Genomic DNA, 23209 nt, shown 5'->3' on the forward strand with positions numbered 1-23209 from the left:
TAGCACTCGGGTTTCCCCAGATTCTTGACATCAGTGTTTATTTTCTGCATAACACTGGAAAGGAATTCTTTTCTAGACTCTCTTTCTCTCTTTCTTTTCTTTTCTTTCTTTCTTTCTTTCTTTCTCTTTATTTCTTTATTTCTTTCCTTTCTTTCCTTCCTTCCCTCTCTCCCTCCCTCCCTTCCTTCTTTCCTTCGCTACTCTCTCTCCCTCCTTCCTTCCTCCTTCTCTCCTTCCTTCCCTCTTTCCTCCCTTCCCTGCTTCCTTTCTTTTGCCTCCAAACTGTATGCAGAACTTTTATATTACTTTAATTTGAAATTAATGTAAGGAAGTAAAGAGAGTTCCTAAATAGTATTTTATAAATTGTACGTGGGTGTATATCATTACGGAAGCATTTTAAACATAGGCAAATGTAGAGTGCATAGTACATGGTTGTTTCAAAATGTGTTCGTGAGTCCTTTGACACATCTCTCATCAAGCAGTGGAGTCTATGTCCCTCTCCCCTTATAGCCGAATGGACCTTGTGACTACCTTGGCCAAAGAATGTGACAGAAATCCTGCTGGAGACTCTGACACAGGTGAGAGAGGGCAGCACAGGGACATACACCTTGGGAGCCTAGGGCCACCATGTGAGGAGTCTGAAAGAGCTGTCACACTGGAGAATCACACACACAGGAGCCCAGGGAGCCTTTGATGTGGGAGTCTCCCCAGCCCAGGTGCCAGACATGTGCCTGAGTGAGCCCTGAGCTGATTCCAGCGCAGCCGACTGTAACTACACGAGAGATGGTCTTAGTCCCTTCAGGCTGCTAAAACAAATCACCGCAGACTGGGCAGCTTGTAAACAACAGAAACTTATGTCTCACAGATCTGAAGGCTGGGCAGTAGGAGGTCAGAATGCCAGCATGGCCGGGGTCTGGTGAGGGCCTCTGCCCGGCTGCAGGCTGCTGACTCCTCCTTGGGTCCTCAGGTATCAGCCAGCGGCAGGCAGCAAGCTCTCTCCGGACTCTCATCCTTATCGCCCGCCAAAGGCCCACCCCTAATCCCATCGCACTGGGGAGTGGTGTTTTAACATAAGAATTTGGGTGGGGGGACACAAACATTTAGTCCATAACAAAAACATCAAAGCAAGAACCACCTAGCAGTGTTTGTTAAATCCCTAGGAGCTTGAGAGAGAATAATAAGATGACAGCAGTAGATTTAAGCCTCAACATCTTAAATGTGATACGTTGCACAACCACAGGTAACCAAAACACATCTGATGAACCCCACGTACCCATGGGCCCACCCGGCAGCTTCAACAGTTATCAGCTAAAGGCCAATCTTGTTACATCTAAACTCACACAGTGGCTCTACTTTATATTATTTTGGAGCAAATCTCATATGTTTCATTATATCGTTTCACCTATACATATTCTAGCATTTATCTAAAAAGGTGATTATAAGTATGTATCACATATATATGTCTATACATATAGACACATATATGTAAAAACACAGCCCCATATGTTGTTGGTTGAATTGGGGGCCCCAAAAAGATATGTCAAAGTCCTAACGTCCAGTACCTGTGAATGTGAACTTATTGGGAAATAAGATCTTTACTGATGTAATGAAGTTAAGATGGGGTTACGTGGGATTAGGGTGGACATAATCAATGACTGATGGGCAGAGAGACCCACAGACAGAAAGAGAGGAGGCCACATGAGGATGGAAGCAGAGGTTGTGCTGATGCATCTACAAGTCAAGGAACCCCAAGAATTGCAGCAACTGGGACTGTCCCCCACACATCAAGGGGTGGCTTCTCAAGCTAGGATGTCTTCTGCTAGGACTTAGAGAAGTTGGGACCCATTTCATGCTTTTCCAGCACGGGATTGGTCCAATTGCAGAGGCTGAGAGAGGGGCCTAGAACAGATTTTCTCTCATTGCCTCTAGAAGGAACCAACCCTGCTCACACCTTGATTTCAAACTTTTAGCCTCCAGAACTGTCAGAGACTCCATTCCCGTTGTTTTAAGACATCCAGTTTGTGGGACGTGTTACAGAGGCCCTGGGAAATGAACACAGCATCCGCGAGCACTCTTTTTTTTTTTTTTTTTTTTTTTGAGAGAGTCTCACTGCAACACCCAGGCTGGAGTGCAATGGCACCATCTCAGCTAACTGCAACCACCACCTCCCGGGTTCTAGCGATTCTCCTGCCTCAGCCTACTGAGTAGCTGGGATTACAGGCACGCACCATCATGCCTGGATAATTTTTGTATTTTTAGTAGAGACGGGGTTTCACCATGTTGGCCAGGCTGGTCTCGAACTCCTGACCTCAGGTGATCCACCCACCTCAACCTCCCAAAGTGCTGGGATGACAGGTGTGAGCCACCGAGCCTGGCCAGGGAGCACTCTGTTTTAAGTTGGAGATTTGGTGTATGCTTTTCCTCTCATGCATTGCTTCTCATCCTTCTCGAGAGTTTTAGAGATTCTAGTCACACATGGAATTATTATTTTGTACATAATAAAAATAAAAGACTGTCAACAGTACTGGGCTTATCATTGTGGTTTCCCTCTCGGTGGAAGGTGTTACAGTCCAATAGAAGTAATCATTGCCTGGACCCAGACAAGAGAAGTCAGTGACCCAGGGATGTTGTGGAAACCCCCGTTTTAGCCAGTGCATGTGGATTTGGGGGAGTTGATTCTTCTGTCAGAGGTTTGTTTACTCGGTTGTTGTTTTTTAGTTGTTGTCTTTTTAATAAGATTAACCCTTTATACGCTAAGGTACTATTGTGGAAGTAAATGAGATGACTCATGAGAACAACTGGGCTGATGGCCAGCAGTTTGGAGCATTGCTTCCGCTTTGAGTGACCAAAGTGGGAAGAGAACCCAGGTTGCTGAGTCTCTTGAGCTCCTCCAAGTGGTGAAACAGCTGCAAGTCTGTGCTGGAAAAGCATGAAATGGGTCCCATCTTCTCTAAGTCCAAGCAGAAAACGTCCTAGCTTGAGAAGCCACCCCTTGATGTATGGGGGACAGAATAGCAGGGCCCGACGAAGTGTGCTTTAGGAGTGTGGGGGAGGGATTCTAAACAAGCGTTCTGAAATTCTGCCATAGGAAAAATTAGTCCTTTTCTCCTGAGCTTTGAATTTGCATCTTCCGAAATATATGCAGTAACCCAAGTGGTTCCCACCACCCTGGAGACAGTTAACTCATTACAGTCCCTCCAGGACTGGAGGGGCCGGATGGCAGGCAGGCATGAGGCAGCCAGAGGAGGGGCCCCTAGAGGCTGCCTTGTCCCTACGGGCTCTGGTGGGGTTGGCTAAAGCACAAGACCAATGCGGCCGGCTGCAGGATTGGGTGTAGGTCCTCCCAGCTCTCCAAATCTTGGAAGTGTAGTTCTTATTCCTGGTTCTTCTGCTGGGCAAGGCATTCTGCCTCCCTGAACTCAGCTTCCTTCCATGTTGAAGGAGGGTGTTGGGCTGGACAGCGCAGAGGCCCCTTCAGGATCCTTTCATCCGTGGCATCACTAACTAGAGCAGCACTCACCGAGGCCAGAGAAAGGGCTGTCTGCTTTTACAGCTGGGTGTTGGCCTGCCTGTTAAGTTGGGCTTCAAGGAAGAGAAAACTGAGTGAATGGTGGCTTTAGCAATAAAGATGCCTGGTCAACAAAGGGAAGCAAAGGCTCTCGATTCAGGGCTGCCGGCTCCGCAGTGCAGCTGCCGCTGGTTTTCAGCCTTGTGTGGCTTCCTAGGTGCCAAATGGCTGGGCCCCCTCCTACACTATTGTGCTTCATACAGGAGCAAAAATCCTTCCGAAGAGCACCCCGGCTGGCTCCCCTTACATCACAATGGCCAGAACTGGGGCCTGCCCACCTGCCTGGATGTCCGGGTGTGTCCGGACCAAAGCTGAGCTCTGTTGGCAGCAGGAAGAGAGACTCCTGTTGAGCAGGCAGCCTGTTGGCCAAGCCAGCCATATCCACGGCTTCTCTGAGGTTCTCAGGTCAGAATCACGACATTAATAGTGTTATTGCCATGGAAAAGAAAATGAGCTTCAGGATAATCTGCTTTACAATGCCACTTCTGGAAAATTCCACTGGCAAAATGTAGGGCTTGCCTCTATTTTACTCCCTCTCCTAGCAAGGGGCACCTTGTTAGGAATCCTGTTTTGACAGAGCCCAGGGTAGGTTTTGTCATGACTCAGAGGGAAGATGGGGCCACCAACTCCCCTCCCTTTATGAGGAGCCTCTGCCTACTTCAAAGCTGGTGTCCTGAGCTCTGCCACAGGTGAGTGAGACAGAGAAATCCACAGAGGTGTCTCCATAGAAACCCCAGGGATTCTGCACTGTGGTCACCCCCACAGAAAAGCATCCACCCTGGCTCCTCGGCCAGGAGCTGGCCTCTGACAGAAGCTGCTTCCTGTTTTCACTGCGTTTCCTCGAAGACTTCAGCTGCTCATCCTGATTTCCTGGTGAAAACAATTTCCCCATCACTAGCCCAGTGTTGACTCCAGAACCCAGGCATGTGGGATGAGACGTCCAGGGGAGGAAGAGGAGGGGTGGAACGCTGCATGACAGTCTACTGGAGAGGAAAGATACGAATGAATGGCAGAGGTGGAGATGGTGTTTTTAAAAAGATAGAATTAAGGCAGAGGGCTCTGCCACAGCCTGCCTGCCGTGTGGACCAAGCATGGGATTTGGAGACCAATAACCCTGGCTCTGACATGTATTAGCTGTGTGATTTTGGGAGCCTCAGTTTCCTTATCTGTGAAATGGAGGTAGCAATGCCTTCTACACAGGGCTACTGTGAGCAATGCGGATACTGTCATTGAAACATTGGGCATGCGATTATTAAAATAACGGAAACATTTTCTGTCTTGAGATACAGTTTAATGTCACTGAAAGAGCATACGCCTTAGGGCCAGTGAGACCTCAGCTACATCCTGTCCTGCTGCTTCCCCTCTCTGGGACCATTGGCAGGTCGCCAGCAAACCTCTCTGAGAGTCTGTAGAATGGGCTAATGCCATCTGCCTTGTAAAGATTAGAGAAGCTATTCTGTTTTAAATATTTATTTTTGTGGGTATATAGTAGGTGTATATATTTATGAGCTGCATGAGATGTTTTGATACAGGTATGCAATGTGTAATAATCACATCAGAGTGAATGGGGTATCCATCCACTTATGTACTTAACCTTTGTCTTACAAACAATCAAATTTATACTCTTTTAATTATTTTAGAATGTACAACTAAATTATCATTGACTATAGTTACCCTGTCATGCTATCAAATACTAGGTCTTATTCATTTTTCTAACTATATTTTTGTATCCATTAACCATTCACACCTCCTCGCTACCTCCCACTACCCTTCCCAGCCTCTGATAACCGTCCTTCTACTCTCTATCTCTATGAGTTCGATTGTTTTAATTTTTAGCTCTTACATAATAAGTGAGAACATGCGACGTTAGCCTTTCTGTGCCTGGCTTATTTCACTTAACATAATGGCCTCCATTCCATCCATGTGGTGCAAATGACTCGATCTCTTCTTTTTTCTGGCTGAGTAGCACTCCATTGTGTATATGTACTACCTTTATCCATTCATCTGTTGATGGACGTTTAGGTTGCTTCCAAATCTTGGCTATTGTGAACAGTGCTGCAATAAAACATGGGAGTGCAGATCTCTCTTTGATGCACTGATTTCCTTTCTTGTGGGTATATATCCAGCAGTGGGATTGTTGGATCATATGGTAGCTCTATTTTTAGTTTTTTGAGGAACCTCCAAATTGTTCTCTATAGTGGTTGTACTAATTTACATTCCCACCAACAGTGTATGAGAGTTCCCTTTTCTCCACATCTTCACCAGCATTTGTTATTACCTAAAGGCCATTTTAACTGGGGTGAGATGATATCTCATTGTAGTTTTGTTTGCGTTTCTCTAATAATCGGTGATGTTGAGCACTTTTTATATGCCTGTTTGCCATTTTATGTCTTCTTTTGAGAAATATCTATTCAGGTCTTTTGCTCCCCCCTTTTTTTTGAGAAAGGGTCTCCCTCTGTTCCCCAGGGCGGAGTGCAGTGTTATGACCATGGCTTACTGTAGCTTTGACCTCCTAGGCTCAACTGATCCCCCATCTCAGCCTCCTGAATAGCTGGGACCACAGGCACATGCCACCACACCTGGCTAATTTTTTGCATTTTTTTTGTAGAGACGAACTCTTGGCATGTTGCTGGTGTTGAACTCCTGGGCTCAAGTGATCCGCCCACCTCAGCCTCTCAAAGGGCTGGTGAGATTGCCTACAGATAGGGTATGCGTGGGAGCTGTAGACAGCAGTGCCATTGATACTGAGATGGGAAGTCTAGGAACACCTGGGTTCCTTGTTACTATTGTTTTGCTCTTGGCAAGGAGGGATTTGGAACCATGAGGCCTGCTTTGAACAAGTTTGAAATGTGCTTAGATACCCAAGTGAGGCTGTCAAGCAGGAAGGTGGGTAGAGGAGTCAGGGGTTTCAGGGAATGATGTGGGCTGAAGGTACCATCCGCACTAAGATGGGATTTACAGCCAAAGTCTGAATGAGCCCTGGGTTGAGCCCAAGGGAGTGAAGAACCTGGAGGGAGGCTCTGCTGATGGAGTTAGATGCCATTTCAGCTGCAATCATGACCCTTGTCTGCCTAGACCTGGAGATAGAAAAATTTTCATTTCCTCTCTGCCAAGCCTCTTTTTCCACTCCTTACCCCACACGGCCACACCCACATCTCAGATCCTGAAAACAAAGATGGTTCTCAGTCTCAAGATAGTCTAGTGCCTCCCAGATCTGGGACTAGAGAGAGGTCAGCGTGCTACTTGCTTCGGGTGCAAAACGAGGGGGTACCAAAACACTCAATAATCAAGATAAGTAATATTTTAATGCAAAATATTTTTAAAAACCAAAATTAGTGCCAAAAAATTCATGATGAACAAAATATCAAAATGTTTTTTTAAAAGACAGCATCATTGACAGTACCTCACCCTATTGAAGCCAGAGGCGAAAGGAAAGATCTGAATTCTGCCCCTATCTTTAGGTAGAAAGTGAAACTCCCCACTTCCCTCAGCCTGGGCCCGGCCTCCACAGCCTCCTCCAGACTCGCCTGCACATTGAAATCAATCATTCTTCTTTTAAGAAAATGCAGGTGGCTGGGCTCCATCCACCACAAGTCACTGCAAAGAGAATGTCAGGGGTGGGACCTGAGCATCCCCAGGTGATTCTATGGCACAGTCCAGACTGAGAATCCCCGAGTTAAAACGCTGCCATACTTAGGTTAATAACAGTCACTGCCGGAGTCCGGAGGACTACTAGAAAGCCAGCCACCCCTCCTCTGGGGCAGAGAGAGGCAGAAGCGAGTAATTATACTTTTATTTTTCCTGCATAGAAACTGGAGAAAAGCCAAAAGTCGGGAATCTCTCTGCCAAGCCCAGATTTATAGGTTCCTGGATAGCCCTTGCAGCCACAGACTGGTGGCTCACTCCTGGCTCACCTGCTCGCTCTCCAGCTGACGGTCCTGAATCCTGCCTTGCCTGTCATGGCAGGTCATTAGGCATCACCAGGATACAGTGTCACCTTCCGCCACAGAAACAGCATATTCCTTTGTAAGGGGATTGTGAGAAGCAAACTCAAAGCAAATGCCGTTCACGGTACCTGGAATGTGCTAAGGCCTCAGCAAAGGGCAACCATTGTTACCACTGTTAATACTTAACTAACTTCAACTTCATAATAACGGCACTGAAGGTGAATATATGTATTCCTTTAGCCGAGTGGACAGATTCTGCAGGTGCGTCGGGTAGATTCACTGTGTTTTCCTCTGGGAACCTATGTTCATGTAGTCTGGGAATAAATATTTATTATTTACCCACTGAGAACTAGGCACTAGGGCCAGGATGGGGGAAAATAAAAGACCAAGCCTCTCCCCTTGTAGTGCTTATGGAGAGACAGAATAAGTCAAAGAACAGGCAAATGTACCATTCAGTGTGAAGTAGAGGAATGTGCTTTGAAGAATAAAGTGAGATAGAAGGACAGAGAGAGCCTGGGGGTGCTATGTAAGCCAGGAACTGGGGGGCACTAGGGCACAGCCATGAATGAGGTAGAGGAGTGAGCCATGACCTCATCTGGAGGAAGCATAGTGCAAAGGCCCTGGGTGGAAATGCTCCTGGCTCTTCCAGGAACCATAGGGGGCCCACACGGCTGCAGTGAAATGGGAGAGGTTGGAGCCTGGCGGGAGAGTAAGGGATTGGGTTCTGGGTTCATATTCTGAATGCGATGGGAAGCCATGGGAAGGTTTGAATGGGGAGAGTGTAGTATGGCTTGATCACTTTTTATACATGTTATCGAGAGATAAAAGAGGCTAATAAATCCTAATGCATTAGCCACGTGGGGCAGTGGGGGAACGGTTGCTGTAGAGGCCTCCAGTGAGGGGATATGGGGCTTTGCCTGCCACGGGAACCTTCTACCTGCCCTAGAGAGCAAACCCTCCCTGAGAACACTTCCTGAACCCTGCCTAAGGCCCAGGGGTGGGCACACCCCTGCAAGACGGGGTTTCAGGAGCAGCTCTTGGTGCCCTGGGCCTTCACAGTGACCCCAGCTCTCACGGCCTTGCTACTGAGGGCCGCCACTGCTCTCTCTCTCCCAACAATTATTCCGTTCTCTCTGTAGAAAGAAAGACAAGAAGGCCAGAGGAGTTAGAAGCAGAATTTCTGCACCCGTGAATGGCTTCTTGAAATAACCTCAGGGTTCAAAGTGTTCACTTCCTTGGGTGCCTGAGCTCTGGTGGACAGGATGTCCCTCCTTCCAGCTGGGGGCTTGATAGCATCTGAGCACTCTCATATGGCCAGGACCTCCTGGCCTCAGTCAGTGCTGGGCTTTTTTCCAGCCTGAAATAAATGCTCAGCTTGCTGCTATTTACCAGTCTGTGTACTTCACAGCAGGCACCTAGGTTAAACCAGGTGAGGCTGCAGCCAGGCTTTGGGGAAGTGGGTGCAGCATCTTGGGAGGCCCTCCTTTGTGCAGGTCAGGAAGGAGGGCTGGAGCCCACAGCAGACGACGTGGGAGAACATCCAACAGGTACATGTGCAGCTCCCACTGTGTGCCAAAGACAATCAGACAATCCCAGGTGCTCAAGGGACACAGCTAACGAAACAGGAAAAGGACCCAGCCTTTGGGGGCTGACAGGCCAGGGGGAGATAGCTCCTCTAGCTGAGCTGCCCCTTCCTTCCCAAGTAAAGTTTCTGCTGTCACTTCTCAGGGATCAAAACTGCTCTACCAATGGCTCTGGCTACAGTCTTCCCCACGTCTCATCTTAGCCTTTACAAAGTCAGTTAGAAAACATCAGTCATGCTAAAATCACTCTTCAGGGCTGGGCGTGGTGGCTCATGCCTGTAATCCCAGCACTTTGGGAGGCTGAGGCGGGTGGATCACGAGGTCAAGAGATGGAGACCATCCTGGCAAACAGGGTGAAACCCAGTCTCTACTAAAAATACAAAACTTAGCTGGGCGTGGTGGCATGCACCTGTAATCCCAACTACTCCAGAGGCTGAGGCAGGAGAATCACTTGAACCCGGGAGGCAGAGGTTGCAGTGAGCTGAGATCACACCACTGCACTCCAGCCTGGGCAACAGAGCGAGACTCCATCTCAAAAAAAAAAAAAAAAACAGAAAAGAAAAGAAAAAGAAAAAAAGAAAAAAAAATCACTCTTCAGTCTGTGGAGATTCATTCCACAGACATGCATGTGCACCTGCTCTGTGCTGGACAGTGTTATGTGCAGAATGTTTATTGCTTGCTGTTCATTTGATTTTTTTTTTAAATCATTGGATCTATATTGAATTTATATTTTTGTTGAATTTTCTGGCAGTATAGGAGCCACACAAATAAAGAGCTTACAGTGTTAAGAAAAAAATATTCAATGACACTCGATAAAGCACAATAGAGCTTACTTTATTCAGGACCATCTTGATAGGTGTAGGGACAATTACAATGGCGTTTTGCAGTGGGGGAGAGATTGGGCTCAACTCCGAATCCAGCAGGGGCAAATGGGAGCAGGGTCAGGGTTAATGGATGGAAATTACTGAGAGGAAACATCAAGCGTATGGGGGATTCTGGCAAAACAAACCTAACAGGCCTGAAAACAGGCCAGGGTGACCGGATATCCCCTGGGGATGGTGGAGGCTGAGGATCCTGATCAAGTATAGAGGATGATTAGATGTTAAGGATAGGAGGTTCTTGCCAAACTGACTTAGCAGGATTCTTTGCTAGGACTGGATTTTACAAGGAAGTGTACAGATGGGCTTAGCAGAAGATTGAAAAGCCTGACTAAAGTTTGGTCAAGCAGAGACTCTTTGTCAACACCGACATGCACATTTGTGCGTATTTAAATCAGAATACAATTAGTGTAACTGAAATCAAGGCAGATCTGTACCTAACTGGAGTCTACCACTGAATTTGAAGAAAGGGCTTGTGAAGAAACTGCAGGCTGAAATGAAGCCGGGGGCAGCAGTTTCCCACCGGGAACACCTTTTATTGCCCTTCAGTCGGACTTTGGGGTGAACTCCTGACTCGGCAAAAGCACATACAACACTGAATCTCCTGTGATACAAAAAACTAGAAGACATCTCTGGTTTGGAGTTTTTTTGCACTGATAAATGTCATCCCCTGAGGGTTCTAAGTGTAGCAGCGTGGAGACCAAATTCCTTACACTTGAGTCACATTCCCTCCTCAGAAGACCTCCTAACCTTGGACTTGTCCATAGTAAGGATTTAATGAATGCATGTAAATGACATTTCACACATTTTGATTTATTTGTTTTTACCAACCGTAAGAGAACTTAGCCTCCTGGGTCTTCCTGGAGAAGCAGCTATTTTCTCTTCAGATACGATATAATCTTCCCTTTTCTGTCCCAATGTATTTCTCCCTTTCCCTCCAGCCTTTTCTATTTGGACCCGTGTCATCTTCTTATTGAGGAAATCAGTCAGAGGTTGCTTTTTATAAGCTTTCTCATTCTGGTTGATTTAGCTATTATTAGACCATTTTGATTTCTTCCTAAAGTATTCATATTTAATTACATGTTTTTCTTCTGCCTTTGGTTCAAGTGTGCTCATTATGTAGTATTTAGTCTGTCTCAAGTTTATTATTAGACTTTTCATTGTTCCTCTATTTGCTAAATTGCAGAGAATTTGTATTTTTAGGATTCTCTCCATTCATGGTGTCATTCCTTGAGGAAAGCCAAAGAAATATTAAAAAGTTGGCTTTGCTCAGTGTTTCCAGCTCCAGGTGTAGAAGAATCCTACATACAGAATTGAAGCTGGTTGATTTTGTCGTCAGCCAGCTTGTGAGCGTTACTTTAACAAAGTCAGCTTGGTACTAGAGCCTTTTCTTACAATGAATGGTTGAAAACCAGGGGAATTGAGATACTGAAATGTTTCATCATCCACTTTTGGTACTTTCAGTGTAGCTCCTGCTATAGAATCTTGCTTTGAAGATGAATATAAAGCTAACCACATGGATGAACGGTGGCCTGGCTCAGAACCTGTGACTCCACCATACCACTGTGGGTTTCTGATATAAGCAGGCAATCAGCCCACAGCTGCTGCTGCAGTGCCCTTTCTTTCAACATCAAGGGAGCCCCATCTACTCGCCTCTGCTTCTTCTTGGCCATTTCACAGCTTATTAGAAGCTATTTCATAGAATGGTGAGGGGCATGACTATTACTACTATTCTCACTTGACTCAGTTGTTCATTCATTCAGTCAGCAGATATCTGCTGAAGGGCTACTATTTTAGGTGCTGAGGATAGAACTGTGTACAAACTAACTAATGTTCCTCTTCTTGTAGAGTTTATATTACATGGCAGGAAATGTACTCTAGCTAGAAACAAATGAAAATGTAATCTGTCAAGTGGTATGGTGAGTTGGTTCCCCAACTCTTTACACCCTGCTCATATTAGAGTTATGCATCACACTTTACCATGTAACAGTGGAGTTTCTCCCCCAGGAGACAGAGTATGTTTTCCTGCCCCTTGTCTTTGGACTTGGCTGTGTGACTCTCTATGGCCTGTGGGATATTTGCGAGCATAATGTGAGCAGAGGCTTGAAATGTGCTTGTAGGGTTTGGCCTGCTTTTTTACTTCTGCAAATACATATTGCCATGAGAACATGCCCTGGGTGGTCTCTGGTCCCAGAATAATGAGATACTTATGGAGCCAACTTGGACCCAACATGCAGCCTGGAGACAAGCCCAGCAGACCTGAAGAAGGAGGAAGAACCACTCAGCTGAACCCAGCCTGAATCAGCCAATCCAGTAGGCCTATAGGTCCATGAGCCTGAGAATAAAGGCTTGCTACTGCAAGCAACTGAGCTTTAGGAGTGATTTGTTATGAAGCATTATCATAGGAAGAGCTGAGTAATGGAGGTGATAGTACTGGCTAAAGGAAAAATAAAGCAAAGTAAGGAACAGAAAGTACTCATTGCAAGAGAAAAGGAGTACTATTTTCTTGTGAATGGCAGAGTAGGCTCTTTGGATATGGTGATATTTGAGCAAAAACTATAGCACTCACCACCATTGTTGAGCAGTTGCTATATGCCAGACACTGAGTTATCTCATTTATTTTTCATGCATTTAATGTGGTACATGCTGCTAATATTGTCATTTCTAAGACAAGGAAATTGAGTTGCAGAGAGGTTTTTGTGATTTGCCCAAAGTCTCACATATAGTAAATAGAAAGGTTGGGATTCTTTTCTGTCTCAACCCCAACTGGATGTACAGCAATGCACTTCTGGTACTAACCATCCAGAGTCAGCATAGTCTCCACAAGACCAAGAGCGTGGTCTCCAAACAAGACCTCCCTTACTTCAGATGCCAGCTGCACTTCAGGAGTCATCAGGCTACTCACAGTTATGACACTTTTCATAATTCAAATCCAAGGGTTCCCACAATTCCTCTGCAACCCAGGTTCAATCATTTACTAGAATAACTTGCAGAACTCAGGAAAGCACTATACTTACAATGACAGTTTTGTGTTTTTTCTTTTCTTTTCTTTTCTTTTTGAGACAGGGTCTCCCTCTTACCCAGGCTGGAGTGCGGTGACATGATCATGGCTCACTGCAGTCTTGACCTCCTGGGATCAAGCAATTCTCCCATCTCAGCCTCCCAAGTACGTAGGACTACAGGCACACACCACCATACCTGGATAATTTTTGTATTTTGTTTGTTTTTCTTTCTTTTTTGTTGTTGTTGTTGTTTGCTTGCTTGTAGAAACAGGGTTTCTTCATTTTGTCCAGGCTGGTCTCAAACTCCTGGGCTCAAGTAATACTTCCACCTCGGCCTACTAAAGCACTGGGATTATAGGCCTGAGCCACTGTGCCTGGTCCAATTACACTTTTAGTATAAAGGATACAATGAGGAGAAACAACCAAATGAAAGACATAGAGTGAGCTCTAAGGAGCACAGAGTTTCCATGCCCTCTGCTCATGGAATCAGGGCATAGCACTCTCCTAGGACATTGATCTGTTCACTGACCAGGAAGCTGGTCCTGAGCTTCAGTGTCCAGAGTTTTTATTGGGGTTCATTATGTACATTATTGATTGAATCATTGATCCCATAATGGACTCAATATCTAGCCCCTATCCCCTCCCTGGAGGTCGGGTGGCTGAAAGTTCCAACCTTCTAATCATGTGGTTGGTTTTTCTGGTGATCAGCCCCATCCCGAAGCTATCTAGAGTCCCACCATGAGTTGTCTCATTAGCAGGAGAAAGACGTCTCTATCATAAATTTCAAGAGTTTTAAAGCTCTGTGCCATGAACATGCAAATAAAAAAGGTGGAAATGGAAACTCCCTAAACAGATTAAATAGCAGAATTGATTCAGCAAAGAAAAACTTTGTAAACTGGAAGAAAACCCTAAAGAAATCACCCAGAATGCACAACCAAAAGATGATGAAATGGAAAATAAGAGAGGTTTGAAGATACAGAGAATAAAGTGAGAACTTCCCTCAAATGCCTAAATAGTGTGACAAAAGGAGAAAAAGGAAGAATGAAAGAAGCAAAATTGGATGACATAATGGTTAAGAATTTCTAGAAATGAAGGGAAAACTTTAGCTTCCTCAGCTTTAGATAGCCTAACTAATGTCATGTAGAATATTTTTTAAAAATCTGGAGCTTCTAGAGAATTGAACACATGGAGGTTCCTGGAGGGTAGTGTGCCCTGAGAGGGCATAGAAACTCCATATCCTCTCTCCCACACCTCATCCTACACATCTCTTCCATCTGGCTGTTCATCTGTATCCTTTGAAATATTCTTTATAATTAACCAGTAAATATTCCTTTTTTCCAAACTTTCTTTTTCTCTAATTATGGAAGAATCTGGGATGCAAGTACCAGCTTCTGCTAGACAAGATCTCTCCTATAGGATTCACTGTGGCTGATAAAGTACACAGTCTATTCTTCCTGGAAATAGATTTTATTGAAATATTGCTGATCCAGCCCACACAGAAGAATGTGCCTATAAAAATTCTCCAGAGCTTTGCCAAATACTTTTTAAATAGAGAGGAGAATGTGGTAGTTTTGTATTACTAAGATAACAGTAGTAGCATCCACAATGATACAGAAAAAAAAGTATTTCTTTAATGGCACTCGAAAGTAAAAATAGGGCCAGATGTGGTGACTCCCACTTGTGATCTCAGCATTTTAGGAGGCTGAGGTGGGAGGATTACTTGAGCACAGGTGTTCAGGACCAGGCTGGGTAACAGAGCCTGTCCCTACTTCATTGATTAATTAAAATAGAAAAAATAAAACAAAGATTAAAAATAAAAAAGACATCTGCAACTGAGCATAACATAGAGAAATTATAGAACACCAAAAATAAAATTTTTAAAGTCATCCAGAGAGGAGAAAAATAAACCCAGCCAGATTAAACACAAAGGAATTACAAGACTGACAGCTGATTTCTCAACCTACAGTGAAGCAAGGAGACAGGGGAATGATGTCTTCAAATGATGAAAACTGCTAACTTACAAAGGACTAGAATGGGTAAAGGATGGTAACTGAGGCTTTTAAAATAAAGTGGAAATGGGAACCAGAAAAATAAAAAATTTTTAAAGAAACTTGGAGGTGCCATCAATTGGGTTTGTGGGTTAGAGAATAGGTAACCTTCAATCACAACTCTAGGGGGTTCATGCTGATTTTCTTGAGTACTGTGTTGCCATCATACTCAAAAGTTGGAAGTCAGAAAGGAGTGAATTGGAGAAAAAGATGATGAAATAGGGATTTTGTTGTTGTTATTACTATTGTCATTTCTGATTATAAGTGTGAAACATGACACATACATAAATATTCATTTTAATAATCTCTTTGATTTTGTCATCTAATAAATGAAAATTAAAACCACAATGAGACACAGTCTTATATCAGTCAGAATGGCTATTGTTGAAAAGTCTAAAAACAACAGATATTGGGCTGGGCACAATGGCTCACGCCTGTAATCCTAGCACTTTGGGAGGCCAAGGTGGGCAGATCAACTGAGGTCAGGAGTTCAAGACCAGTCTGGCCAACATGGTGAAACCCAGTCTCTACTAAAAATACAAAAATTAGCTGGGTGTGGTGGCAGATGCCTGTAATCCTAGGTACTCAGGAAGCTGAGGCAGCAGAATCACTTGAACCTGGGAGGTGGAGATTGCAGTGAGCCAAAATTGTGCCACTGCACTCCAGCCTGGACAACAGAGCAAGACTCCATCTCAAAATTAAAAAAAAAAAAAAAAAAACAGATGTTGGTGAGGATATGGAGAAAAGGGAACACTTATACACTGTTGGTGGGAATGTAAATTAATACAACCCTTATGGAAAACAGTATGGAGATTTCTCAAAGAACTAAAAGTAGAACTACCATTTGTCCCAGCAATCCCACTACTGGGTATACACCCAAAGGGAAAGAAATCATTATATCAAAAAGCTACATGCACTTGTATGTTTATCACAGCACTATTCACAGTAACAAAGATATGGAATCAACCTAAGTGTCCATCAGTGGTGGATTGGATAAAGAAAATGTGGTGTAAATGTATACCATGAAATACTACGTAGCCATAAAAAAGAATGAAATCATGTCTTTTGCAGCAACATGGAAGGAACAAGATGCCATTATCCTGAGTGAAATAACTCAGAAACAGAAGGTCAAATACTGCATATTCTCAATTACAAGTGGGAGCTAAACAATGGACACACATGGATATATATGAGTGTGTGTGTAAGTGTGTGTGTGTATACACACACAGAGAATGTAATAATAGACATTAGAGCCCACTAAAGGCAGGAGGGAGGGAGGAGGGTTGAAAGATTACCTACTGGGTACAGTGTTCACTATTTGGGCGATGGGTTCACTAAAACCCCAGACTTCACCATGATGAATATATGCATGTAAGAAACCTGCACTTGTACTCCTTAAATATATAAAAAAGCTTTTTAGGCCAGGCGCAGTGGCTCATGCCTGTAATCCCAGCACTTTGGGAGGCTGAGGTGGGTGGATCACGAGGTCAGGAGATCAAGACCATCCTGGCTAACACGGTGAAACCCCGTCTCTACTAAAAATACAGAAAATTGCTGGGCGTGGTGGTGGGCGCCTGTAGTCCCAGCTACTCGGGAGGCTGAGGCAGGAGAATGGCATGAACCCGGGAGGTGGAGCTTGCAGTGAGCCGAGATCGCACCACTGCACTCCAGCCTGGACAACAGAGCGAGACTCTGTCTCAAAAAAAAAAAAATGTTTTTTAAATTTTAATGTGGAAAAAAAATCTCTGCAATTTTCTATGGTTAGAAATATTTTATAGGTTTCTTTTTAAAATAAGGTGACACGTATCTGGGGAAGAAAATTAATAAATTGTGAAAATACATGCAAAGAAAACTCTAACCAGTCATTGCTAAAGAGTTAACTCCTGTTAAAACTTTGTGGTTGAGGAGTTTGAATGCCTCAACGTTCTGGTACCAGTAGGATCCTCAGGCAAACCTTTAGAAGCAGGGGACAAGTGCAGATGCTGATTGATTTTTGATGGTTGGCTGAGCATGTGTTTAACCTTTGGTTGAGACGTTTGTACTTCGAGCAGAAGAGGAAAAAAAGCATGAAACGACGTTCTCGGCACTTTCCCCTCATGCTCTATGCCTACCGCAGTGAACTAGGATTGACAAGGCAAACGTTAGTCATGAATGCATTAACCTCGTTTCCTTGGGAACCACCGAATGGAGGGGAGAATGCTGGTCACATTTAGCAGCCTGCTACGTGTAAGGCAATTAGTTCCAGGATTTGTCAGATGACAGTTCTATTTTTGAGCACTTTCTTATCAATTAGGAGAAAAATATCCGACGTGCAGAGATTTCTCAGTAGCTTGGGTTGCGACTTAGTTTACAAGCAACAGGAAGGCAAGTTCAAACTGCCTCATACAAAGATCATTATAATTTGTCCCTCTCAGTGGAGGGTCTTGATGGATCGACTCAGGGTAAGGGTGTAAATGAGGAGTGAAGAGGCTGATGTTTAGCTTGTGCTCCTCAGAATGGAAACAGATCTTGGCAGACATCTGCTTCATCCTCAAAGGCAGCCCACACAGTTCTTCAGTGTTTTTCTCTGGAAATTAATAGTGATGTAGAATATGGAAGTAGTTATTTTATGTTAATCATATGGGTTTGGGGAGGTTTTGAACAAAAATAATAAAAATAATCACCACAACCGCAGCCATGTACTACACGCCAGGCTGTGGGCTAAACATGCACATCCATCGTGTCACCCAAGCAGCCCAGCAAACCCTGGGAGCAGTCAGGAGATGACATATTGGCCTCCAGTGTGAGCTTGAAAAAAGAAAATTAAGAAAGTTGTGAAGAATTCATAAACTAGAAGTTCTGTGGGTGCGGATAGTATCCTTTATCCACCAGCTTACAATGTATTTATGCCCATTTGAAGTTAAGAAAACTGAGGCTTAGCTGGGCATGGTGGCTCACATCTGTAATCCCAGCACTTTGGGAGGATGAGGTGGGAGGATCACTTGAGCCCAGGAGGTCAAGACCAGCTTTGGCCACTAAATGAGACCCCGTCTCTACCAAACATACAAACAAACAGTCTGATGTGGTGTCACACACCTGTAGTCCCAGCTACTCAGCAGGCTGAGGAGGCAGGATTGCCTCGGCCCAGGAGATTGAGGCTGCAGTGAGCCATGTTTGCGCCACTGCACTCCAGCCTGAGTGACAGGGCAAAAAGAAAAAAAAGAAAAGAAAAGAAAGAAAGAAAGAAAAGAGAAAACTGAGGCTTAAAGATCTTAAAGCTGCAGAGTTAAAGTTAGTTAAGAGCAAAGCAGAATTTGAGCCTAGTTATGTCTGTTTGCATGCCACAATCTTATTATGCCTCATTATTCAGAGCATGGATCCCGCCTTGCAGCACAGCCTTCACCTGAGGCTTGGCCTCACCCAGACCTACTGAATTAGATTCTCCATTGTAACTCGACCCCAGGTGGTCCTGAGGAAAGTTTGAGAGACTTGACTCTACACCCATGCAGCGAAGGACAATTGCCATGGGAAATGTGTATCACTGGCCATCACTGAAGTGATATAGACAAAGTGCCAAATGAGTGGGTAGACAGAGAAGACCTAGGATTTTAGAGAAGGAGGCTGGTGTCAAGAACTGGGATGGTAAGGGAAATCTACCCAAAGGGGGTGAACCTAGAGGGAAGAGTTGGGACCCAAGTCCACTAGCACTTGAAAAATATTTTGCAAAACATCCTTCCCACCTAACCACTCCTCTGTCTCCATGCGCAGCGGCTACTGGAGTATCCAAATTGCCCCAGGCACTGTCTTTCCTGAAGTTCATGATTTTGTCTGTAATCTGGTGACTGCCTATGTTGGGAAGCACTACCAAGTTGTGAGGACAGCTCAGGTGAAATGAGAGACTGTCTTCCGGCCGTGATGGCACTGGAGAATGTCTGCCTTGCAGTCTGAGTATGTGTGGTGAGACTAGTCATCCACTAAACCTGCATGTCTTTCAAAGCAATCTTAAATTAGAAATCTATCTCCAAGGAGTGTTTTCTGTATTTAAATTCAAAGATGAAATACACATTTTTAAAAAATACACATATATAGGCATCGTGTTAGTCTATTCTGGCTGCTATAATAGAATAGTATAGACTGGGTGGCTTATAAATAACAGAAATATATCTCTCACCATTCTGGAGGCTCGAAGTCCCAAGATCAAGGCATAGTAAACTTGGTTCTCGATGACAGCCCTCTGCCTGGTTCATAGACAGCACCATCTTGCTGTGTACTCACATGATGGGAAGCGTGAACAAGCTCTCTGGGGTCTTGTCTCATAAGGGCACTAATCACATTCATGAGGGCTCTGCTTTAGTGACCTAATCACCTCCCTAAAATCCCACCTCCTAATACCATCGCCTTGGGGTTAGGATTTCAACATATGCATTATTGGGTGGGAGGGACAGGGTCCAAATTTTCAGATCATAGAAGTCACAGACGATGATTTAAGTCTATCTGAATTTGTTTTAGCGTGTGATTCTTTCTTTACATAGTCCTGCCTGGCATTTGCCTATTTACAAAAGAGACAGAAGATGCCATTACTGATACCAACTAAACATTATTAAAAGGTCAAATCTGAAACTTCACCCTGTTTCCATAGCAGCCACCCTCCATCTGGCCTCCCCCAGCCTCCTGTGTCCTTAAGAAGGTATCACCATGCCCCTGCCACAGCCTCTCCCACCCCAACCAACCCACCCACACAGTCTCCCAGACAAACAGGCCCTCCATCAGCCGCTAGCTCCTGCTAGCCCTGGGTGTGGTCTCCAAAGTGTTTGTGATTCACAGGCATGATGGAGAGCGTTGGCATGTGAGATGGCATTTCTTGTGCCATCCCTAGTTTAAAACTAGTCCAATGTGGCCTGGCGCGGTGGCTCATGCCTATAATCCCAGCACTTTGGGAGGCCTAGGCAGGTGGATCACAAGGTCAGGAGATCAAAACCATCCTGGCTAACACGGTGAAACCCCATCTCTACTGAAAATACAAAAAACTAGCCAGGCATGGTGGCACATGCCTGTAGTCCCAGCTACTTGGGAGGCTGAGGCAGGAGAATGGCGTGAACTCAGGAGGCGGAGCTTGCAATGAGCCGAGATCGCACCACTGCACTCCAGCCTGGGTGACAGAGCAAGGCTCTGTCAAAAAAAAAAAAAAGAGAAAGAAACTAATCCAATGTATGCATCTTGTTCCCATGCTCAGTGCTGATGCTGTAGTTTGAAATTTGCCTGATGGGTTGATCCAGAGGCTAAGATGGGTTGGGATGAGGGAAGATGATAGCTCCTGGCCTCCTAAACTACCCCCTACAGAGATGGCTTACTGCACTGGGATTCCGTCCTGCCTGTGAATCACAAACACTTTGGAGACCACACCCAGGGCTATGACCAATTGGCAGTGTCTGCTGACACCTTGGAATGCCCTTGGACCTAAGCCTTGCAGGAGGTCTTTAGCCAAGCAATCAAGCTAATGCTAGGCCACTTTCCATAATTAAAGTGAGCAGCATAATAATGGATATTTAAGACATCACATAGTGGCATGGGCTAAGAAGAAAAATAAAGCTAGATAAGGAGATAGAGAGTGATGGGGCAGATGCTGGTCAAGAAGGTCCTTTCTGGAAGAAGTCAAATAATCCTTGTTTTCAGATGATACGATTTTATATTTAGGAAAACCTAAAACCACCACCAAAAACTATTAGAATTGATAAATTTAGTAAAGTTGCAGGATACAAAACCAGCGTACAAAAATCACTAGAATTTCTATATGCCAACAGTGAATGATCTGAAAAAGAAATACAAAGTAAACCATTTTTAATAGCCACAAATAAAATGAAATACCAAGGAATAAGCTTACCCAAGGAAGTGAAAGACCTCTACAAAGAAAACTATAATACATTGATGAAAGAAATAGAAGAAGACACAAAAAAATGCAAAGATATTCCATATTCATGGATTGGAAGAATCAATATTGTTAAAATGTCCATACTTCCCAAAGTAATCTATAGATTCAATGCAATCCCTATCAAAATACCAATGGCATTCTTCACATAAATAGAAAAAACCATCCTAAAGTTTCTATGGAACCACAAAAGATGCAGAATAGCCAAAGCTATCTTAAGCAAAAAGAGCAAAACTGGAGGAATCACATTATCTGACCTTATACTACAGAGCTATAGTAACCAAAGCAGCATGGTACTGGCACAAAAAACAGACATATGAAACAATAAAACAGAATAGAGAAACCAGAAACAAATCCACACACCTGCAGCGGACTCATTTTCAACAAAGGTGCCAAGAACAGACATTGGGGAAAGGACAGTCTCTTCAATAAATGATGCTGGGAAAACTGGACATCCATGTGCAGAATGAAACTAGATCCCTGTCTCTTGCCATATCAAAAAGTCAAACCAAAATTGATTGAAGACTTAAATCTAAGACCTCAAACTATGAAACTACTATGAGAAACCACTGGGGAAGCTCTCCAGGCACTGATCTGGGCAAACATTTCTTGAGCACTAGCCCACAAGCGGTACTCCACAGGCAACCAAATCAAAAATGAACAAATGGGATCACATCAATTTCAAAAGGTTTTCCACAGCAAAGAAACAATCAACGAAGTGAAGAGACAACTCACAGAATGGGAGAAAATATTTGCAAACTACCCATCTGACAAGAGATTCATAACCAGAATATGTAAGGAACTCAAACAGCACTATTAGAAAAAACTAATAATCCAATTTTAAAAAATGACAAAATATTTTAATAAACAATTCTCAAAAGAAGACATGCAAATGGCACACAGGTATACAAAAAGGTGCTCAACATCACTGATCATCAGAGAAATGCAAATCAAAATTACAATGAGATATCATTTCACCCCAGTTAAAATGGCTTTTATCCAAAAGACAAGCAATAACAAAGGCTGGCGAGGATGTGAAGAAAAGGGAACCCTCCTACGTTGTTCATGGGAATGTAAATTAGTACAACCACTATAGAGAACAGTTTCGAGGTTCCTCAAAAAACTAAAAATAGAGTTACCATACAATGCAGTGATCCCACTGCTGGATATATACCCAAAAGAAAGGAAATCAGTGTATCAAAGAGACATCCGCACTCTCATGTTTGTTGCAACACTGTTCACAATAGTCAAGATTTGGAAGCAACCTTAAGTGTCCATCAACAGATGAATGGATAAAGAAAATATGGTACATATACACAATGGAGTACTATTCAGCCATAAGAAAGAATGAGACTGAATCATTTGCAAAAGCATGGATGGAACTGAAGGTCATTATGTTAAGTGTAATAAGCCAGGCACAGAAAGACAAACATCACATGTGCTCACTTATCTGTGGGAGCTAAAAATCAAAGCAATTGAACTCATGGAGTTAGAGAGTAAGAATATGGTTATCAGAGGCTGGTAAGGGTAGTGGGGAGATAGGGATGGTTAATGGGTATAAAAAATATAAAAATGAAAAGAATGAATAAGCCCTAGTATTTGATAGCACAACAGGGTGACTGATATGGTTGGCTGTGTCCCCACCCACTCTCATCTTGAATTCCCACATGTTGTGGGAGAGTCCCAGTGGGAGGTAATTGAATCATGGGGGCAAGTCTTTCTCATGCTGTTCTCATGATGGTGAATAAGTCTCATGAGATCTGATGGTCTTAAAAAGGGGAGTTTCCCTGCACAAGCTCTCTTCTCCTGTCTGCCACCATGTGAGATGTGCCTTTCAACTTCCACCATGATTGTGAGACCTCCCCAGCCATGTGTAACTGTAAATCCAATAAACTTCTTTCTTATGTAAATTGCCCAGTCTCGGTATGTCTTTTCCAGCAACATGAACATGGACTAGTACAGTGACTATAGTCAATAATAATTTAATTGTACATTCTAAAATAAAAGAGTATAATTGGATTGTTCGTAACACTAACACAAAGGATAAATGCTTGAGGTGATGGATACCCCATTTTCAATGATGTTATTATTATGGGTTGCATGTCTGTATCAAAACATCTCATGCAACCCATAAATATATATGCCTACTATGTACCCACAAAAATAAAAAATGTTAAAAAAGATGGACCTTTCTGATCACATGATTGTTAAGTAAAAAAATGATGGAGTGAACTTTGTAGGTATCAGGGGAAACAGTGTTCCAGGAAAGAGGGAAAGC

At 43.9% G+C, this 23209-nt stretch overlaps 1 long non-coding RNA gene across 1 annotated transcript, besides 2 other annotated features; it reads right to left on the minus strand.

Moving 5' to 3' along the window:
• Positions 898-1397: an enhancer, noted in NCBI's record as "OCT4-NANOG-H3K4me1 hESC enhancer chr2:105794407-105794906 (GRCh37/hg19 assembly coordinates)". NCBI's record gives its function as "activates a minimal SCP1, AML or CMV promoter by ChIP-STARR-seq in primed H9 embryonic stem cells {active_cell/tissue: H9 hESC(primed)}" and the evidence as "EXISTENCE:reporter gene assay evidence [ECO:0000049][PMID:30033119]".
• LOC105373528 (uncharacterized) lies at positions 17166-19705 on the minus strand. The gene is made up of 2 exons (XR_001739624.1): positions 19177-19705; positions 17166-17592 (listed from the first exon to the last, which is right to left on the minus strand). It is a non-coding gene; the product is annotated as an uncharacterized LOC105373528 (long non-coding RNA).
• Positions 20191-20765: an enhancer, noted in NCBI's record as "NANOG hESC enhancer chr2:105813700-105814274 (GRCh37/hg19 assembly coordinates)". NCBI's record gives its function as "activates a minimal SCP1, AML or CMV promoter by ChIP-STARR-seq in naive H9 embryonic stem cells {active_cell/tissue: H9 hESC(naive)}" and the evidence as "EXISTENCE:reporter gene assay evidence [ECO:0000049][PMID:30033119]".

Source organism: Homo sapiens, chromosome 2, assembly GCF_000001405.40.
Source record: "Homo sapiens chromosome 2, GRCh38.p14 Primary Assembly".
NCBI classification, from domain to species: Eukaryota; Metazoa; Chordata; class Mammalia; order Primates; family Hominidae; genus Homo; species Homo sapiens.